Raw genomic sequence first — 20,692 nt, forward strand, 5'->3', positions numbered from 1 at the left:
ACATTCAGACACTAAGGTTACTCAGTGATGGCTCTGGCTGTCTGGGAGACTCATCAGTGATTTTTTTTTGATACAGGGTCTCACACTGTCACCCAGGCTGAGGTGCAGTGGTGCGACCACGGCTCATTGCAGCCTCAACCTCCAGGGCTCAAGCAATCCTTCCACCTCAGCCTCCTGAGTAGCTGGGACTATAGGTACACGCCACCACACCCAGCTAGTTTTTAAATTTTTTGTAGAAACAAGGTCTTGCTATGTTGCCAGAGCTGGTCTTGAACTCCTGGGCTCAAGAAGTCCTCCCGCCTCAGCCTCCCAAAGTACTGAGATTGCAGACATGAGCCACTGTGCCTACCCTCCCTTTCAGTTGAGTTTCTCAGAGTGTCTGCAGACTGAGCTTCTCCCTTTGATACCCAGTGTCCTGCTTTGGACAGTCAGGAGTTGGCTGGAAAAAAAAATCTTTCTGGTTTTCAAAATCCTTTTAATTAAAAAAATAAAGGGTAGTTTTCTCCTTCCAGCTGACAATGTTTCTACTGTGTGTTAATACTTGGGCATTAATCTTCAGGCACCTCCAGTGAGGCAAATGACATTGTTCTTTTTCAGATGTAGAAATCCCTGAAAATCCTGAGGCATATCTTAAAATGACCACAAAAACTTTGAAAGCGTCTTCTGGTAGGCCCCCGCCCATGCATGTGTCAACATGGCAGCATCCTGTGGCGCACACTGCATCCTCAACCTCGCTCCCATGTCGTGTCTACCTCTGCCTTCTGTGGACACCATGCGCCTTGGTCCTTGTGTCATGGTGTATTTACACTGCCGTACTCACCCATAACTGCGTGCTCCTTACAAAACCCCATCCAAGCCAGAGCCGTCTCGATGCCAACCCCCTCTCCTCCCTTCAGGCCTGTGCAGAGGGAATTTTTCATGGTGCCTGTTTTGATGATTTTTTTCTCCATCTAACTGAAGTCCTTTGGCATGGGCCAAGCTTTCTTCATGGTGGCTTGGTTTGGAACTGTTTCCTTGCTTTACTGGGATCCCCTGGTGGAAAGGGGTGGGGGGTTGGGGCGGTAAAGGGTGCTGATGATTTGCCACAGGAGGGAAAAAACCTTCCTTTCCTTGATTTGCAGCTCTAATCCTCATCCTTAGCCCCATCCCTATCTGCCATGGTGGGTCGGGGAGAGCCCTGAGGAGCCTTTTGGTTCCCAAGTCCATCTTGATGTTCACTCTTCCCCTCACTCCTGAGAGGCCTTCTGCCATCTTGGTCCCCAGACCCGGCCTTGCCACTCAGTGTCCCTACCACTCGAGACCCTGGCTCCAAAACGCCACTCATCCCACAGCAAATCATGTTGGTCGTGCTCCGTTGTGTACCCATCTAGTGAAGGCACAGTGTTGCTGAGTTGCATGACTCATCTCATTCTCTTCTGGGACATACTGACATTTTGCAAACATGCATGCTTTGCAAGGAAAGCTGCAGAACTCATTTTCATACTGTAACCTGATGCCATGTCACCCGTGACCCGTTCAGTAGGAGAGAATAGACTGTCGCTTGCTGTCTTTCGTTTCAGGTAAATCCATTTCGGATGGCCACTCGTGGCATGTTCCCGACAGCCCTTCCTGTCCCGAGCATCACTACAAGCAAATGGAAGGTGACAGGAATGTTCCACCTGTTCCCCCTGCGTCCAGCACCCCTTATAAACCACCCTATGTAAGTCTTAACTTCACTGGGAGTACAGCCTATGTCTGTGAGTCATACTTACATTTGCAAGAGAGAGAGATTTTGGTGTAAACTGCGTGTATTCATTCCCCAGGCATATTTTGAGTTGGTTTTCTTATGGTGACAGTGTCTCTGTTGAGCTGTCCATACTTCATTAGAACCCCGGCAAAACCGATTAGACTTAGAGATAGGTTCTGGCCAAAAACCATCTTTCTGTATGTTGGTGTGGTGTAACAGTCATTATTACTGTCGAGTCAGGTGTCTGTGCAAATAGTGAGCAAGCAAGGTGCTGGCTTTCCTGACTGCTCCTGAGCTCTCAAGCCTTTGTCTTTTTGTTGTTGTTGTGGAGACGGAGTCTCATTCTGTCACCCAGGCTGGAGTGCACTGGCACGATCTTGACTTACTGCAATCTCTGCCTCCTGGGTTCAAGTGATTTTCCTGCCTCAGCCTCCCAAGTAGCTGCGATTACAGGTGTGCACCACCATGCCTGGCTAATTTTTGTATTTTTAGTAGAGATGGGGGTTTCACCATGTTGGCCAGGCTGGTCTTGAACTCCTGACCTCAAGTGATCCACCTGCCTCAGCCTCCCAAAGCGCTGGGATTACAGGCATGGTCCACTGCATCCAACCTTCAAGCCTTTGTTATGTTAACCTTTTGTCCATACATCCTATTCCAAAAAATCATTGATGGTGTGCTGCAGTGGACACGGATTTGATTCCTAGCCCTGCCAATCCATTGCCATGGTACCTGAGGCACTTCGCCTTGCTTCTGTAAGCCTTTCTCACCTGAGGCTAAAGCTATTTCACCTAGTAGTTGTTAAGATTATTGTGTATAAAGGTAAAAGAAGGTCCTCAGAAGTAATGGTCGTGATTATTATTCCTGTATTGGTCGTGATTATTATTCCTGTATTGGTTTGTTGTTTATAGCAATGGCTGTTTCTTCTTAGTTACATTTCCCTCAGCTGCCTTGAGTTCTTGGCATGCTCTGGCTAGGCAGCTCCTGGGAGGGCAGCCTAGGGCAGCAGCGAGAGAAATTAAGGAGAGAATATTGTTACATCATTGGAGGAGATTCTGCCTTTGCATGCTCAAATCCAAGTCAGCTGATAATGGGCTGTTTGTGTCCAATTCAGAAACACTTCCTCTTGCTTAACAAGCAGGTGTCATTTTTAAAAAGAATAATAAGACAGGGGAAAGACCGCAGTCCCTGACCTCTGCTTTACATCCTTGGCTCATGTGGCTTGGCTATCCCTTCCTGTGATGACGCCTGTGTTCCTCACCTGGCCGGTTTCAAAATCTCAACCCTTTTGTTGTGTCTGAAGCCAGATGTATCACCACAAATCTGAAGGTTTTTTTTTTATTATTTTCATTCTGCACAAATAGGCCATACAGACAGAAGAAAGACAAAGAAAGCAGGGCTTTTCTAAAAGGGACACATTTATTTTTGGAGAGGCCCGAGATAACAGCCCAATCGGCTGTGTGATAACAGAAGAGTCAGTATGTGCGGTGAAAGATAAACACTTGGTAACGAATGCCCCTGGGAGGCAGATTCATCCTCTGTGCATTTCTGATTCTGTGATAATGATGCCAACCACCTCTACAGAGTGACAGGGATAACTAAAATTCTGTAAAACACTATGAAAATTCAAAGTGCTAACGCAGTAACCGTCTGGTAAGCTCAACAAATTGTTCTGATTTGTTTCGTGTGGATCATTTGAGGGGTGTTTGGAAGCATGCCAATTGAAACAGACCCTTTTCTTCCCATCACTGACATCTCATCTGCTTCCCTCTCCCTGGGCCTTAGCTGAGGCTTTATTTCTGCCATCAGCTTTGCCAGCTTATAAATGCTACCTAGACACTAAAGCACCACTGTATTCCTAGCAAGATACCCTTCAAAGGAAAGGGGCCCATCTCATTTCTTCACTGTTAATATGAAATGAATCCAGTTGTTCTTCAGATATCCTTCATATCTACAGATGGTAACTTAAAAACTGGCTCATTCTAGGGAAAGCTACTATTACCTCCAGGCACGGATGGTGGCAAAGAAGGCCCGCGAGTCCTGAATGGCAACCCACAGCAGGAAGACGGGGGACTGGCCGGTATCACAGAGCAGCAGTCAGGTACTGCCTGTAACTGGCAGTCGTCCAGAGAGGCAGAGTATGGTATTTAAGTCCTTGCTCAAGAGAACATTCATTAGATATTAACCAACTATACGATTCGCCAGAACTGGGGGACTTACCCTACAACAACCAATGTTATTTTTAAATCAGCGATTGGCATTCACGAACAAATTCCTAGGCTGTTCAGTGTAATTTGAAAACTATTCTTTAAATGTTGGTAAAATAAGCCTCCTGAGGAAGTGCAGGTTTTCACTTTCTATATTTGTGTGTAAAGATCAGACTTGAGGATGATGATCAGTGTTATCTCAAGTGTCTCTTCATTCGACCAGCCCAGTAATTATAAAAGTAATTACTCAACTAAATCTAAAGCTGACAGCATCGACCTGGTCATTTGTGGACCAAAGGAGAAAACTGAAAAAATTCAGCAGGAACTGAACTGTTGAGCTTGAAACTGTAGCACATAGACCTTCCACTTCATTCCAGCCTCTGTGGGAGTGTACGCCTCAGATCATGTGCTATTCCACATTCCAGGAGAAGAGAGAACTCCCAAAACCAGACCCTTCTGTCAGGGGAATCCCCTACAGTTTTTTTGTTTTTTTTTTTTTTTTTTTTAACCACCCTGACCCCTAATTAGCTGGAGGCAGAGAAATCTGTTGCATTATTGCTTTTTTTAATTGGCGATTTTTTAATTCCAGGTGCCTTCGACAGATGGGAGATGATTCAAGCACAGGAGCTTCACAATAAGCTCAAAATAAAACAAAATTTGCAACAGCTGAACTCTGATATCAGCGCCATCACTACTTGGCTGAAAAAAACTGAAGCAGAGCTGGAAATGTTAAAGATGGCAAAGCCTCCCTCTGATATCCAGGAAATAGAACTGAGAGTGAAGAGACTGCAGGTGAGTTAGAGGTGTGGTGGGGAAGAGGGATTCAGAATGTGCATGTGAACGCATTGCTATGCTGGACGAGCAGATCCCATGTATTCGTGGCATAGGCGCAGCTTGCAGATGGTGTATGTAGAGGTCACTCTCTTCCATTTCAGTTCCATAGTTGGCAAGGACATAGATGCAGATTTTTGTTTTCACATGGAAGAGTATCTGCAAATGATCCTGATCCCAGAGTACTGGGGAGGTGTGGCTCAGATCTCCAGAGATGGAAAAATCTGACATCCGAGGCATTTCTAGACTTTTCTGGAGGTGCTAGTGGACACTGTCAGGCAGTGTAAAACCACTCTTCCAAACTGTATGCTGCACAGTTACACGAAAGACTAGTGGTGGAATCTTCCTTGAAAGGGCTTGGGAAAGGACCGGCTCACCTACTGATGAATCCCGTGGCCTGACCTCATTACCCTTTTATGCAATTAGGATGTGTCACTTACATAAGTCCTGACCCCACTGGAACTAGCCCAGGGAGCTGCAAAGGGACAGTTTGAGCCCTGCGCTTTAAGGGTGCCATGAGCAGTAGCCTGAGACCCAGGGCAGGGGTTTTGGAGGATCCAGGTACCTTTCATATTTGTACTTTTATTTTACTATCTGTGTTAATATATTAGGGGTTACCATTCCTCCTAAGGAATAACATTTCTGGCATTTCTAGGAGCAAATGCAGAATAACCACATATACTTTATCTGGAAGACCTTTAGTCGGTCCAGAAACATTAAGCCAGTTGCAGAGCGGGGCCTGTAGAGGTCAGCAGGGTCTCCTCCCTCCAGCAGGCCTCTACTTTGGGGCCCTGTTGGCCAAGTTCACAGACCTTAAGGCAGCTCCCTCACCTGATGCTTTCCAGCCAGTCCCAGGCGAGGTCACTCTCATTTCTGTGGCCGCAGCTTGGAAAAGTGTGTGGAAAATTTGTTCCCTACTGAGGTTCAAAATGAGCCCCTCCTCCCTACTTTCAGAGCTCCTAACCTCATCTTTTCTCTCTCTGGTAGGAGATACTGAAAGCCTTTGACACTTACAAGGCATTAGTGGTCTCTGTCAACGTGAGCAGCAAGGAATTTCTGCAAACCGAGAGCCCCGAATCCACAGAGCTCCAAAGTAGACTCCGCCAGCTGAGCCTGCTCTGGGAAGCAGCACAGGGCGCAGTGGACAGCTGGAGAGGGGGCTTACGACAGTCGCTCATGCAGTGCCAGGTACGCTGACTCAGCAGCCCGCCTCCCAGAGCCGGTACCCAGGCCCACGTGGTAGGAGCAGCAGATATTTTTATCATCATCAGGCTGCTTCCGTGCAGCCAAATGTGGCTGGTGTCAGGAAACATGTGCTTTACCATTTGTTTCCACAGAGGCTCACCGGCCATCTCAGAGACCTACTCCCTGTCCCAGGTCTCGTCTCTGTTGCCCAGGCCCAGAGCCACTCCTGGAGTCAGGGTTCCTGCAGGCGACCTGTAGGTTAGAGATGCCACCCCACAACTCCTCTTTTTGTCCTTTTGCCAGAGTGATTAAGAGACCTGGCCTTGAAGCAGAGGAGCAGTTACTGCTTAATAGCCATGTGACTTTGAGCAAAGCATTGAACCTCCTAGACCTCAGTGTTCTCATCTGAAAATGGGAATCATTCCCATTTTCTTTTTAGAAAGAACCTTAAAAAGGTTCTTTTTAGGAGTAAATGAGGCAGTATGTATAATCCTAGCCCAGTACCTGACACAGTAAATGCACAGCGGGTGTGAGCTCTGCACCACTGCCTAGCTCTGGCTGTGTCTCAGGGAACGTGAGCCCACCCCAGCCTGTCCTGTTGGGTTGTTTCCCTCTGCCACTGGAACCCAGCAGAGAACCCAGCAGATTGGCTGAGGAATGCGTGTGGCCTTCATATATAAAATCAGCTGGGCATCCCAAAGCCCTACCTTCATAGTGGCACTTTTATTCGCGGCCTCCTGGCACTGTGCTGAGTGTCTTCCTTCTTTCCTCTTCCTCATTTTGGGGCCCTGGCATTTAGTTTAAAGCTGGTCCTCGTATTCAGTGGGTAAGGCCAGAAAAGCAAATGACTGTGATGGATTGGAAGCAGTAAGCCATGTTCCTGGCACACCCTCTTCCAGGGCTCTAAGACACGGCCGCGCTCTGATGTGTTGTTTTTTAAGGACTTCCACCAGTTGAGTCAAAATCTGCTGCTGTGGTTAGCGAGTGCCAAGAACCGGAGGCAGAAGGCTCATGTCACCGATCCAAAGGCAGACCCCCGGGCTCTCCTAGAGTGTCGGAGGGAACTAATGGTAAGTTTCCTCCCAAGGGCTCTGTACTGCCACCAGCCTCTGTCAGCCCCAGAGAGGCAGCACACTCAGGTAGCCTCGCCTAGTATTTCAGGAACTGTGCCAGTGGTGTTTGCCTGTAAATGCACGAGTTCAGCCCTAGTGTTCCTCCAGTTGGTGTTTACCGAGCTGCCCTTTGTAGTTCTGAAGCCAAATGACTTGCAGGAATGGAGAGCCACAGTCCACAGAACTGAGGACATAGGTGCTCTCGATATCCTGAGGAACTTAAGGCCATTTGAGTGGAAGTATTTTTCTCTCGTGAATCCTGCTCATTGGGGAGAAATATGGTGCTCATTTGCTTCACACCTGTGATGAGCTGAATGGGTTTTCTGTATCCACTATGGAAAAATCTTTCTTCTTGGAGGAGAGTCGTGTCCTGGTGTATTTGTCACTAACACACCAAGATGAGATTTCTGTATTCTCACTGGTGCTCAAGGTGACATTTTCATCCATAAATCTGTATGTGGTTTAAATATTTTAAATTTTAATCAGAGTGCTAGCCATTGTTTAAAAATACAGCTTCCTAAAATGTTTGCAAAGCAAAGCAGTGGCGTCCAGTAGAACTTTCTGAAGTGATAGAGATGACCTGTGTCTGCACTGTCTAATAACCTCATGTGGCTTAAAGCACCTGAAATGTGGCTATTATGACTGAAACTGAATTTTTAATTTTAGTTAATTTAAATAGCCACATGTAGGCCGGGCACGGTGGCTCCCAGCACTTTGGGAGCCTGAGACGGGCGGATCGCCTGAGGTCAGGAGTTCAAGACCAGTCTGGCCAACATGGTGAAACCCTGTCTCTACTAAAAATACAAAATAAAATAAAAATACAAGAAAAATTAGCTGGGCATGGTGGCAGGCGCCTGTAATCCCAGCTACCTGGGAGGCTGAGGCACGAGAATCGCTTGAACCCAGGAGGCGGAGGTTGCAGTGAGCCCAGATCGTGCCACTGTACTCCACCCTGGGCGACAGAGTGAGACTCCACCTCAAAAAAATAAATAAATGAATAGCCACATGTGTCTAGTGGCCATATTGCAAGCAAGATAACCACCCTTAACAATTAAAGCCCGTTTGCCTGGTATGAACCTCTATGGTTACGCTGCTGTTTCTCGGTTGATTGACTTTAGAGTTTCCCTTTACTTCCTTCCGTGGTGGATGAGGGACCTGGTCTTCCCACACCACTTGCCTCACTTCTTTCTTCTAATTTCTCCAGCATCACAATTGTCTTCAGAGTGAAAAGAAATTAAAAATAGGGGCAGGGCATAATACACTTGCTATCTAAATAGTGCTGGGCTGGAGGACACAGGCAGATATGAGAAATAGAGGATTCTCGAGTTGAGTACTACCCATCATTCATTCTGGAATTTTTCTGGTACTGAGAAAAACCTCCTGTGTCCACACTCGCTTCCCTTTGGACAGGTCACTGTTTCACACACTTTATCTGTTTTCAGCAACTGGAAAAGGAGCTGGTAGAACGTCAACCTCAAGTGGACATGTTACAGGAGATTTCAAACAGCCTTCTCATTAAGGGACATGGAGAAGACTGTATTGAAGCTGAAGAAAAGGTGCATGTTATTGAGAAGAAACTCAAACAGTTACGGGAGCAAGTGTCCCAAGATTTAATGGCCTTGCAGGGAACCCAGGTGAGTCTACTTGTAGCTTTTAACTGTAAAGATTGCCGTATTACATGCAGACAGGACAGCAGTGTTGTAGCAATGCTCTAAGACAGAGGCCAGAAGCAAGGGCCAGGTGGTCCGAGTGGGGCCTCATGTCGTGCCCTTTTTCTAGCTGTGTGGACTTAAAGAGCTGCATGAGCTCTTTGAATCTGTTTTGTCATTTTTAAAAGGGAGTGGCGGGATGACAATTTTTAAACTTTTTTTAAAGGAAGTGGCTAATTTTTGTATTTTTTGTAGAGAAGGGTTCTTGCCATGCTGCCCAGGCTGGTCTTGAACTCCTGACCTCAAGCAATGCAAAGTTCTGGCATTACAGGCATGAGCCACCATAGCTGGCCTACTTTAAAATGGGATCCAACTCAAAACAAAGGGAATACCCAGACTGTGGCCTCACCAGACTTAGGGCAGGTCTGTTTTCTCCTAAGCAGCCAAAACTAGACTCTCTTGATGGCCACATGATCTCATCACCGACCTGTGATGAGCTCACCATCTACTCAAACTGCTGCTGCTAAACTCAGTCTCCCCAGCTCTGTGCTATGGGTTGGTTTTTAATATGGGTTGGCTTTTCCTTGTTTACATTCCTTTTTGTCCGAAAAAGTCTGTTGTTGTTGGGAGTGAGAGCAATAGAAGAGCCCCTTCAGGAAAGATTTAAGGCTGGGCACAGTGGCTAATGCCTATAATCCCAGCACTTGGGGAGGCCAAGGCAGGTGGATCACTTAAGTCCAGGAGTTTGAGACCAGCCTGGGCAACATGGTGAAATCCCGTCTCTGCAAAAAAAAAAAAAAAAAAAAATACAAAACCAGGTGTGGTGGTGCATGCCTATAGTTCCAGCTACTCAGGAGGCTGAGGTAGAAGGATTGAGTTTGGGAGGTTGAGGCTGCAGTGACCTGTGATTGTGCCACTGCACTCCAGCCTGGGTGACACAGTGAGACTGTCTAAAACAAAACAAAACAAAAAAAGATTGATTTAAGGTAGGGGAGGGTGAGCTATATCATGAAGAATATGCATGAAACACATTTCTGTGCTCAACCTTTGGGGTCTGAATTTCAGAACCCAGCCTCACCCCTGCCCAGCTTCGACGAGGTAGACTCGGGGGACCAGCCTCCTGCAACATCCGTGCCAGCTCCCCGAGCAAAGGTAAGAAGCCCCTTCCTTCTGTGAGAACCTCACTGGTTATTTTTTAAAGTCACTAAGATGAGGGAAGCTTGGGATTCCAAGAGCCCATTAGCCATTTCAGGACAGCACAGGTCTCTGCTGACCCATAGAGAGGCTTACAGTCTGCCTCTAGTCACTCTTCTTTGGGATCACAGTAGGTTGTGAATGAGAGCTCTTATAGTGTCGCTAAAGGGGTTCCCTGATTTTGCCATTAAAAACTTCAACACACTTGACCCTGAAACTGAGTAGATTAACCTAATTATTTCCTACTTCAGGTGACGTTTAATCTCAATTGTATTACTCTAGTCTCCAAAGTTTGGCTGTAACACAACATAAAGGTGGTATATAATTTAAGGGAGGATTTTTTTTTTTTTTATCATTGATAGGACTAAACTGTCTTCAACTTACTAACTGGAGTTTCTTTACCCAGCAGTTCAGAGCAGTGAGAACTACAGAAGGCGAGGAGGAGACAGAGAGCAGGTAACGGGGCTTTACCGTGACAGCAGTGCGTTCCCCTGCTCCACACTCCCACTGACTCAGTCTTGCCAATGCCACTATCAAGGTCCTTGCAAAAATCTGGTTTTCTTTTGTCTGGAAAGGGCTGGTTTTCTCCTCTGAAACTGAACCCCAACTGTTGGCCCTATTTAAATCTCAGGTCTTGGATTTCTTACTTACATAAGCAGGGGCTTAGGTAATAGAGTGGGTTGTGCCTGTGGAGCCTCCCAATCAGCTCTCAACCTCCTCTGTTGGCAGGGTCCCCGGCAGCACACGGCCACAGCGCTCCTTCCTCTCAAGGGTGGTCCGGGCAGCCCTACCCCTGCAGCTGCTCCTCCTGCTGCTGCTGCTCCTGGCCTGCCTGCTGCCCTCCTCCGAAGAAGACTACAGCTGCACTCAGGCCAACAACTTTGCCCGGTCCTTTTACCCCATGCTGAGGTACACCAATGGGCCACCCCCCACATAGAGGGCATAGCTGGCCACAGTGCTACACCACCTGCCTGATTGCCAAGGGTGCCCAGCACGTGGCCCCAGACCAATCTGAGTGACTTAGTGTTGGCAAGGTCCCGGGACCTGTGCAGACTTCTTCTGGGCTTACCCAGCACGGGCTCCCTGGAGCCCAGGGCAGCTTTCAGATTGTGTTCCTCCCCAGGAGCAGGGAACCTGTGTGGCAGGTGCCCCGGGTATTTTGGCAGAACTAGTTGATTAGTTTAGGGATCTCTGGAAATGTCAGTTTCCTGAAGAGCCAAGCACTTTGTGAATTCTGGTTTGTTTGTAAAACAGCATTATTATAATGTAGGTATGGTCAATGAGCAGTGGTGTCCATCACATATATTATAGAAGCAAGCGAGGACATTCCACCCTAGAAATGGTTCAGAAACTCATAGGCACCCTTAGCTGATGGAAACAATCAATCATATTTAATACGCTTAGAATCAGTTTTACTCCAATCAGCTGGCAATTTTGAGCTGCCGGTTATACACCAAAATGTTCTGTTCAGTACCTAGCTCTGCTCTTTTATATTGCTTTAAATTTTTAAAGAAATTGTATTGCATGGATGTGGTTATTTGTGCATATTTTTTAACAATGCCCAATCTGTATGAATAATGTAAACTTCGATTTTTTTTTAAAAAAATTAGATTTTAGCTGGAGCTTTTGACTAATGTAAAGTAAATGCCAAACTACCGACTTGATAGGGATGTTTTTGTAAGTTAATTTTCTAAGACTTTTTCACATCCAAAGTGATGCTTTGCTTTGGGTTTTAACTGTTTGGCCACGGCGGGGGTGGGGGCGGGGGGTTGGTACAGAAACTTGAAGCTGTTTGTGATATGTACAACTCAGATGTTTCTCATTAAAAAACAAAATTAGCCAGACTTCTGTTGTACTGAATTCTGTAACAAAGCAGTTCAGTGGTATGCTTAATCTTCCAAAAAACAAAAATTATTATTTTTAAAATATTTGGAGAGGGCCTTTTATTCTAAGTCTTATTTACAGAATTAACTTAGCTCTGGACCCTCGTGTATGTGTAAATTAAATTATTCAGCGTGTGACCCTCAGCTATTGTAGGGAATGGCAAAGGCAGCATGGCATGAGAGGTGGACGCAAAGGGAAGGATCTTATACCCAGTTTACTCTACTCTTTTTTTTGACAGAGTCTCACTCTGTCAGTCACCCAGGCTGGAGTGCGGTGGCCCAATCTCGGCTCACTGCAACCTTTGCCTTCCAGGTTCAAGCCATTCTCATGCCTCAGCCTCCTGAGTAGCTGGGATTACAAGCACACACCACCATGCCTGGCTAATTATTATATTTTTAATAGAGACGGGGTTTCGCCATGTTGGCCAGGCTGGTTTCAAACTCCTGACCTCAACTGATCTGCCCACCTCGGCCTCCCAAAGTGTTGGGATTACAGGTGTGAGCCACCGCACCTGGATTCCCAGCCCTCTCCATGGCAAATGAACAGGCAAAGCCCCTTGTTGCCCATTTAAGTCCAGTAGCATTTTACTTTCTACCTAAACAAAGAGGATAGGCATCGGCATTTCCCCTTTCTTATTGGAAGATACTGAACACAGTTCCTAACCTGCATCTGTTGGCAGGCACAGCTGACCACACAATCCCAGTCCCCTCCTCCCCTTCTCTGCCAAAGCACAAACCTCAGGGGAAACCAGTGAAGCTCATCAGTAGATGAAGCCTCAGCTTTCTACATTGGTGCCCCTCATGGGTGAGACATCTGCAAGCCCTGGGCAGTTAAGGAGACCATCTGAAGAGAATCCGTCTTCACTTTAGCGTTTACAGTTATCAAATTGTTGGATTGATAATAGAAAGGAAGGTGGTTTTTAACCACATAACTAACTTCAAAGTATTTTAACTCTTTCTTTAAAATTATTTTTTTCATGGATTACAATGATCCCAGAGGGAAACTGAAGTGAAAATGTTACCCAAGATTTTTCTTTAGGCCACCGAGTTGATTAGAGGGTCACTGCTCCATCGTTGCTTCAGGCAAAAGAGTCTCCATCTTCATTCCAAATGAGGTGAGTGTTTGAGAGGCCTTTTCTGCCCTTAAGTAGAGATGCGGGACAAGTCAAAGTTGCAGTGAAAGGAAGTGTGGTCTGCATTTCAAAGCTTAATATTGTGCATGTCAATTTTTGTCTCTTCCTCAGGATAAGGGCCTTTAAGCTGGTTTGCTCCCCATCTCCAGGGAGGCCACTGCAGCTTCTTTCACTCAAAGCTCAGTGTATTCCCAAAACTCTTTTATGAGGTAGTCTGGGTTTTATATCGTCTGCAAATCTTTCATTGCCCACATGCAAGGGACATTTTCACATGACTCTTGGCACTAAGATAACTTCAAATGAATGAATTGCTTTTCTCCCCATCTGTAAAGGATATAATTCTAATCAAACTCAGAATGATTACAGAAAATCTATCCAAATAATCGATGCACTGGATACCAGGACTTTTGTGAGCTGCATTTTACTTGTATACACAGGACCTGTGGTCATAAATCAATCACAAGTGTGAGATTAGCTGACTAAAGATGAAATTGTTCTTTTTAAGAAGATACATTAAAGCAGAGCTTCTTAACTCTTCTGAAATTGTACTCAAGCATTTGTGTTCAGGTGCCCTTTCCCAGGAAGACTAGCCCTGGTTTTCATCAAATTCTCAAAGGACTCTCTAACCCCACAATAAGAATTCAGAATAGAATGTAGACACTACTTAGCCTAATTACTGTAAGTTCTTACACTCAACCCCCAACAAATACATTTTTAAAGCCAAAATAATGAAACACTTTATTTATATCATGTTAAACTCTCTACGACAGTGCCATAGACATTAAAGGGACACAGTAAGGAAAACACTCCCTGGAGGAAGGGAAAGCAGGTCTCAAAATCTGCTTTCACAGAGCAGCAAACATTCATTTCTACAAGGCCCAAATGTAAAGCCTGCAAATGAAGTCAACAAATTAGTGTAATGATACAAAGCATTCGTCTGAGAAAATGGCAAATTATAGCCAACCAACAGGCTCTGAAGTACACATTGAATGACAAAAGGTATAGGACCAACAGTTAAGGCATTTAGACACCCAACAGAGGAAACAAATGCAAAAACATCCATTGTACAGTTAACAGGAACTGTTCGCGGCTGGTATCACCACTCCTTATGTGCTTCCCATAGAGGAAACCCACCACCAGTTTACCAGTGGCTGGCCCTACAAGTGAATAGGATCCTCGGAATTAAAAAACAAACAAACAAACAAACAAAAAACCTCCCTGACTCCAAAGCAACAAAAATGGCACTACGATCATACATCACAGACAATGCACATCTTAAGAGCTGCCACTGGAGCCAAAATTCCAGCAAGTTTGAGAGCTATAAAGAATAAGTGGCACGTGTTTTCACACTGTAGTATATCACACTCCACAGGGAAGCAGCAGTGCCTAAAAGATGTGAATTTTACATGAGTACACTTCCAAGGAACATATTCCACGTGTTTGGGGAAAGCAGTCACAGACAGGAGGTGATCACAGTACCCACTAGAGCTCATGAACCTGAGATGGGACAATGGGAATAACAGATTATGCATCTTATTTTTCCATCTGTCATTGCTGCTGTTGTGTAAAGGCTCATGCAGACCCATCTAAGCTGAGGAGATGGGATCTAAAGGTACAGCAGAAGACAACCCTAACTTCACCGCCCCTCCATTCTGCTGCGACTCAGCTCACAAAGCAGATTCTCACAGAAGCAAGTCCTGGGGCAGGAGCAATACTGGCCCGCTAGGCAAGCAGAAGACTTGCGTGCCAGTCCAAGCTTTGCCATGAGTAGTTTTATGACCTTGAATAGGTGAATTTGCCCCCGTGGGCTTTAATTTACACAGATATGAAAGGTGGAGTTGAACTTTGATGTGAGAGGTTTACAAACTTACTGTGTCTGTAGGGGTGTTCTGGACATTGTGGTGGGAGGTAAGGGGGTATCACAAGGGGGCCCCATTTAAATCACAGCAGCCGTGCATGTCAGGTTGCACCTGATAGATTCTGCAGTTTTAAAATATTTTTCTTTAAATTTTTAAACTGTTTGAAGTGCATGGTCACTGTCAGCACTGGACTTGGACTGCCTGTGTTCAGCTCAATCACCTACTCCCCACGTGACCTTCAGCAAGTTTGCTTAGACCGTGTCTAGTTCCACAACCAGAAAATAAGGAAATAGCAGTTATTATAATAAGGATTAAATGTGAATGTCTGAGGCACTGAGAACTGTGTCTGGCACAGATATTATCTTTAGATACTAAATAATGTGTTTTTATCTTTTTAAAAGATTTTCAGCAACTTAAAAAAAAATGTGGCGGGGCTGGGCACAGTGGCTCATGCCTGTAATCTCAGCACTTTGGGAGGCCTTGGCAGGCAGATCGCTGGAGCCCAGGAGTTCAGGACCAGCCTGGGGAGCATAGTAAAACCCCATCTCTACAAATATTAAAAGAATTAGCCAGGAGTGGTGGTGTGCACCCCAGCTACTCGGCGAGGGCGGGAATGGGGTGGGATGGGGCACTGTGGTGGGAGGATCGCTTGAGCCCAGGAGGTCGAGGCTGCAGTGAGCCATGATGGCGCCACTGCACTCTAGCCTGAGCAACAGGAGTCAGACCCTGTCTCAAAAAAAAAAAAAAAAAGGTGTCAAATCTTATTAAGTGAGGATACTTTGTTTCAAAATAGGCCTATAAACAGAAGGTTCACTTTGAATTTGAAAAGTCCCTTAGCAGACGTAAATAAGAACTAAACCCTGCTTTCACATGCTAGAAAATTCTAGAATTGCTTCAATTCCACTTATATACATAAATATATATGGATATATAATATGGCTCTGCCAAGTATTGGTAACTGATTTTTCTTCCTTACTGAAATCTAAGATAGTTGCCCTTCCAGCTGAGTTAGCAGGGGGAGTATTCCAGACCAAGACTCGCACTGTACAGCTCCTGCCGATTTTGCACTATTTTTAATGCAGTTGAGTCTTCAGATTTGTGACTAGGCTGACAGCTTTGTCTTGTGTTCCCGCCTTAATTTTTTGAGAAAAATCCCTTCAAGACTATTTTAGGGTCAAGTCTTTTGTAGTCAGTCCTGGTGGGCAGTCACTATGAGACAGGCCTGACAGAGGGGTGCTGTGAGAACAGAGCGAGATTCGGTGAGAATAGCTCAGCTGGAAACTCACTGTGCGGCGCTCCTGATACTGCCCACTCGAGGCTCTAAAGGGATTGCCATTGCCAGTTCACTCCCAGGAGTAGAAGTGATCTCTGTCTTAAGATCTACTCTCAAAAAAAAAAAATTATATATATATATATATATATATTTCGTGGCAATTTTTTTTTTTTTTTTTTTGAGACAGGGTCTCCCTCTGTCACCCAGGCTGGAGTGCAATGGACTGCAGCCTTGATCTCCCCAGGCTCAGGTGATCCTCCCACCTCAGCCTCCCAGGTAGCTGGAACTACAGGCCTGCACCACCACGCCTGGCTAATTTTTGTATCTTTTGTAGGACAGGGTTTCCATGTTGCCCAGCCTGGAGTCAAACTCATGGGCTCAAGTGGTTCGCCCACCTCGGCCTCCCAAAGTGCTGGGATTACAGGCGTGAGCCACCACATCTGGCCTTGTTTTGGTTTTTTATGTTTTTGTTACCTGGTAATCTCTTTTAAAAATACATTTAATAGAATTTCACTGGCAGATAATGAGTTGCTGAAGGCTGCCTTCTTTGCCTCTTACTTCCTACTCTCCAGCTTCCAAACCCCTCTATTGGGAGTGGGGGATTCTAGGCTGACCAGGAGGAAAGAAGCTGACACTAACACTGGTTCCCTGGTTCCTATGAAACCAAGCTTATCCTGCCTGTACTAAATCTTACTAAAGCTGTAACTGAGTCTCTAAGAATAACTTCAGACTGCCTCAGAACACAGACATCAGTGTGTTCTCTAGGTACTTGTCCAAGCATTTCTGAAACAGCTAAGCTCAACTTATAGTAAAATTGCACCAATATCAAAATTATGGATTATTCGAGGTCTTACTAGCAAAAACCAGTCTTGGTAACACTGAATGCAGTCTTCCTAATGACTTAGTAAATACAGGATGTGCTACCCAAAGTGAACATATTTTCAAAAAGAAAATATATTTAATATCATATCACAAGGTAATTGTTTAAAACGTTACTGCAATAATGAAACATGATTATTTAATTGCTGGCTTCCATAGTATGCTGTTACTCATTTTACATATTCACCGTGTATCCAAAACTGGAAATTTCACATCTTTTAAAAGGTGAGTTAAAGTTGTCATTTCAGAGGTGCCCTTCTTCATGTCCTATTTATGTTCCACTTGGAATAAGAACTAATATTTTTACTGTTTCTTTTTCACCCTGCCCACCATATAAATTTTCCAATAAGAAAATATTTTTAAAAGAGCTCTCAAGTGTAAAAGAATTCTTTCTTGCTATAAATAATTATCCCTAAATATTTCTCTTTAAGGAGAGTTCACAAACTGGGTCTTGTTCAAGGGGCGTACTCATCAAGGCTATACAGTGTGGCCCCAGAGCTGACACACTGGGGTGCATAGCTACTCATCCATCCATAAAACAGCACACTGCACACATCCACAGCCCAAAGTATCCCTGACTACTTGTGGTGACTGATGGGGCAATTGTGGCTGCTACTTATGAGGTTGTACAAGATGGAAACTGCATCCACATTGCCCCAGGGAAACACTGTGGCTGTCACCCACACCCACAGGAGAGAACCCCATTCCTGCAAACACGGCCTTTCTCCAGCACCCACGCTGGCCCCATGGGACAACAGGTTTAAGGAAGAGCAGCTCCAGAAGCAGCGAGATTTGTATCTCCCACAGTCCTGCATGAAAATGATCACACGCTCATACACACATACCCCAAATTATTGGCAGGCTCTGTGAATACAAATCGAGAGGGACAAATCTGTGTGCAGCTGGCAGCAAGGTCAGGGAGAGAACATGACTCACATCCCAGCTTAACCACAGTCCCTCTGGCCTTTGACAGAATAAGCATCATATGATATGATCAGTCCCCACAGGCCTGGGAGGTAAGTACGCAATTGCCACAGGGGTTTTCAATCTTACAATGGAGTGGTCCGGAAAACAGCAAAGGTCAACTCTCAGAGGGAAGGGTAGTGTGTGCCACACAAGAAGGGTTAGCCCACTTCTGTAAGCGTGTCACTTCCTCTCCCCTTTCTGATTCGCAGCCCTTCCAAGTCAGATTTCCACCATTCATTCCAAAACCTTTAAGATGTTTCACAAAGGGGAGGAAGGAAGAAGGAAAGTAAGAAAGACCACACTGAGATCCTATGAGGCCATTGAGTGTGGAAACGCTGCATTCAAATGTGCCCTCTGCTAACAAGGGAAACTATGGCTTCCTCACACCGACTCCTGAGAGTTGGGAAGGTGGAGGGAAGGATGGTACATGACCAAGCCTGCCATCACCAAATGAGGGACCACACAGCAGAAAGATGAAGCCCAGGCTCCTGACACACTGGAGTTCACGCTTCAGCCTGTGACCTCTGTGGGCCAGTTCACCTCAGGGCCAGGCGTCACTGAGACTGTGGGTTCTGGGAGCCCTCTTTGCTTTTACTGTCCTCTGCCGGGCTGCACTCGGACCCCGTGATGGAGGACTTGCACCCGCGAAGCACGTGGGCATTCAGCATCTCCAGCAGCAGGTCATACACTGGGACCACATTTTTGCACTTCATGTTGAGCAGATGTTCCATGCCCTTGTTACTATGGGGACAAAAAGGTGCTGAGATTCCCTCCTCCGAGGCAGCCACAGGAACCCCGAAGCCTTCCCCGGCTCTCTTTGCTCAGAGCCAGTCTACCCCACCCCTAAACCCACTCTTCCCCCAGCCCATTTATCCATGGCTCGTGCATCCAGCTCCCCCTGATAATTTAGGCTCAAGGGCAAGGACGATGTCTTGTCAGCCTCTGTGTCCCACCACACACCTACAATGGCCTGACACATAGGACAATCAATCCTCATTGTTTGCGGTAATTATGTTCCGTAAAGTCACTGTGAACACTGAATCCTCACTCATAGGGGAAATACAGGGTTAGGTTCCTGCAAGCCTCTGGCCACATCTTCATCAGCTGATCAATACAAAACCTTGTTTTATGTGTGTTTCTTTCTAAAGATGCCTTATGTGATAAATACCATTGACTCATTAACATTGAACTCATGGCCAGCAGCACTATAACTCACACCCGAGCAAAGCTTAACACATACTTTCTCCATAAGGCACATCACAGCTTTTTCACACCGAGGAACACTAGACAGGTCTTCAGCACCACACCAGGGGGGCATTTTAAACAGTGAAGTCACCAAAAGCACAAAAATGTAAAACCATGGCACTAAGTAGACCAAGTAAAGGACACTTGTTGACAGTATGAGAGCAGCTGCTTGTTCCATCTCAGCTGGGACTGTACATAAAGGGCAACTCAAAATTTCTGCCACTCTGTTCATGACCTCAAAAACACCACAAATATTGATTTTGGGGTTACAAATAAATTTTAGCAAGCAGATAAATTCACAATGAAGGAATCTACAAACACAGGATCTGTTCTGCAAATGGCTATGTGCTGAGCAATCATTAAAGGGGAAAGGCAGAGGTCTTCATCTCACTTAAGATTCTCGAGGTGTATATTGTCCTTCTCCACAGCCTCTAGACTTGCCTCCTCAGTGACCAGTTAATTACCTTCCACCCTCCCCTCCCCTCCTCCAGCTCCAGGGCAAGGCTACCCTCATCGTGGGTGACACCAAGCACTGAGCATCATTGTACCAACAGTAGCCACCACTGCACACCCTCTTCATCAGCACACACAATTACGTTTCCTGATCAGAAACATGCCCTACCTACAGCCCTGCCTTCCTAAATCTGCTGGGTCCACCACTTCTCTTAAGTCTTATCCTTAATTTCCTGATGCCACCGAAAGAACAACTCTTAGGGAAGCATTTGTGCACTTCTTCGCATCACCAGCTCGAGGGGCCATCTAGGGGAGCGGGTCTTAGCCTCTCCACAAAAAGTGGCCTCAGGGCCTCAGCCCTGGGTGGTGTAAACAGGGGTGGCAGTTCGTGTTAGGGGAGGAACTGCCCCTTTTAGGACTCCATAAACAGGCTATAAACCCCAGCAATTGAAAAACCCATGAGCCACCACTGGCTGCCATGCAGAGCCTGTAAGATACCACATGACATTCCTTCCATGCCCACTCTGTGCCCATCTTTGCTTACAGGTGTGTGAACTGACAAATTCCCCATTCCCTTTCAGGCATTCATTTTCCTTAACTTGCAGACACTTTTCCCAAATCACTTCACCCTCCGTGGAGCACATAATCCCATCCCAAGCCCAAGCAGAGCAGCTCCTTAGGGCGCGTACCTCGCATGCCTGACGTGGGACAGGAGCATCAGGAGGTTAGCCAGGCGCATGGATTGCTGCTGGGAGGAGATGCCGCTCTTGGCAATCACCCAAACCAAAGCATCGGTCACGGCGTTCAGCAAGTGAGCCAGCTTCCGGCTGCTGTCAGCATCCTGGGTCGCTGTGACCAGAGGGTACATACCTGGACAAAGAATAAAAGCCAGAAGTCATTGCTCTGAGCAAAGGAGCAGAAGTCGTGTGCTCAGCTGTTCCGTGCGCCTGCTCCGAGGTGATCTGGGTTGCTTTGACAGCTGCATGTGTGGCAGGAGCTTATAAGCATGGTCTTACCTCCCCCAGGGGATCTTCCCTGAGAGCCAGCCCCGTCACAGAGCTAGAAGAGAAGCCTGGCCTAATGCAGACAGACTAAATTGC

General features: G+C 46.1%; 2 protein-coding genes and 1 long non-coding RNA gene across 45 annotated transcripts in view, besides 4 other annotated features; 2 read left to right on the forward strand and 1 right to left on the reverse strand.

Moving 5' to 3' along the window:
• SYNE2 (spectrin repeat containing nuclear envelope protein 2) overlaps positions 1 to 11,761 on the forward strand; it is a 464,854-nt gene extending 453,093 nt beyond the window's left edge. For 11 of the 33 annotated variants that reach the window (XM_047431152.1, XM_011536576.3, XM_047431149.1 and 8 more), the window contains 10 exons: positions 598 to 666; positions 1,560 to 1,699; positions 3,710 to 3,866; positions 4,520 to 4,722; positions 5,749 to 5,949; positions 6,846 to 7,016; positions 8,501 to 8,692; positions 9,773 to 9,859; positions 10,308 to 10,357; positions 10,631 to 11,761. In XM_047431152.1, the coding sequence (XP_047287108.1) occupies positions 598 to 666; positions 1,560 to 1,699; positions 3,710 to 3,866; positions 4,520 to 4,722; positions 5,749 to 5,949; positions 6,846 to 7,016; positions 8,501 to 8,692; positions 9,773 to 9,859; positions 10,308 to 10,357; positions 10,631 to 10,838 (1,478 nt within the window). In that variant the 3' untranslated portion in view covers positions 10,839 to 11,761. Of the gene's footprint in view, positions 1 to 597; positions 667 to 1,265; positions 1,700 to 3,709; positions 3,867 to 4,519; positions 4,723 to 5,748; positions 5,950 to 6,845; positions 7,017 to 8,500; positions 8,693 to 9,772; positions 9,860 to 10,307; positions 10,358 to 10,630 lie in introns of those variants that run through there. The other 22 variants (XM_005267454.2, XM_017021103.3, XM_005267456.2 and 19 more) reach the window with 19 other exon arrangements.
• Positions 10,291 to 10,792: an enhancer, noted in NCBI's record as "H3K4me1 hESC enhancer chr14:64691697-64692198 (GRCh37/hg19 assembly coordinates)". NCBI's record gives its function as "activates a minimal SCP1, AML or CMV promoter by ChIP-STARR-seq in primed H9 embryonic stem cells {active_cell/tissue: H9 hESC(primed)}" and the evidence as "EXISTENCE:reporter gene assay evidence [ECO:0000049][PMID:30033119]".
• Positions 10,793 to 11,292: an enhancer, noted in NCBI's record as "H3K4me1 hESC enhancer chr14:64692199-64692698 (GRCh37/hg19 assembly coordinates)". NCBI's record gives its function as "activates a minimal SCP1, AML or CMV promoter by ChIP-STARR-seq in primed H9 embryonic stem cells {active_cell/tissue: H9 hESC(primed)}" and the evidence as "EXISTENCE:reporter gene assay evidence [ECO:0000049][PMID:30033119]".
• Positions 12,019 to 20,692, reverse strand: part of ESR2 (estrogen receptor 2) — a 111,907-nt gene continuing 103,233 nt past the window's right edge. For 2 of the 11 annotated variants that reach the window (NR_073496.2, NM_001291712.2), the window contains 2 exons: positions 20,282 to 20,462; positions 12,019 to 12,926 (listed from right to left, as the gene is read on the reverse strand). Coding sequence is in view for 9 of the 11 variants with exons in the window: in NM_001291712.2 (NP_001278641.1) it covers positions 12,845 to 12,926; positions 20,282 to 20,462 (263 nt within the window). In the remaining 2 variants the exon portion in view is untranslated. Of the gene's footprint in view, positions 13,358 to 13,628; positions 18,636 to 20,281; positions 20,463 to 20,692 lie in introns of those variants that run through there. The other 9 variants (XM_047431076.1, NM_001214902.1, NM_001291723.1 and 6 more) reach the window with 5 other exon arrangements.
• LOC124903328 (uncharacterized) lies at positions 12,811 to 20,499 on the forward strand. The gene is made up of 2 exons (XR_007064205.1): positions 12,811 to 12,899; positions 20,174 to 20,499. It is a non-coding gene; the product is annotated as an uncharacterized LOC124903328 (long non-coding RNA).
• Positions 17,723 to 17,792: an enhancer, noted in NCBI's record as "active region_8523". NCBI's record gives its function as "activates an Ori minimal core promoter by ATAC-STARR-seq in GM12878 lymphoblastoid cells {active_cell/tissue: GM12878}" and the evidence as "EXISTENCE:reporter gene assay evidence [ECO:0000049][PMID:35858748]".
• Positions 20,456 to 20,515: an enhancer, noted in NCBI's record as "active region_8524". NCBI's record gives its function as "activates an Ori minimal core promoter by ATAC-STARR-seq in GM12878 lymphoblastoid cells {active_cell/tissue: GM12878}" and the evidence as "EXISTENCE:reporter gene assay evidence [ECO:0000049][PMID:35858748]".

The sequence above is a fragment of the Homo sapiens genome, chromosome 14 (assembly GCF_000001405.40).
Source record: "Homo sapiens chromosome 14, GRCh38.p14 Primary Assembly".
In the NCBI taxonomy this organism is placed as follows: Eukaryota; Metazoa; Chordata; class Mammalia; order Primates; family Hominidae; genus Homo; species Homo sapiens.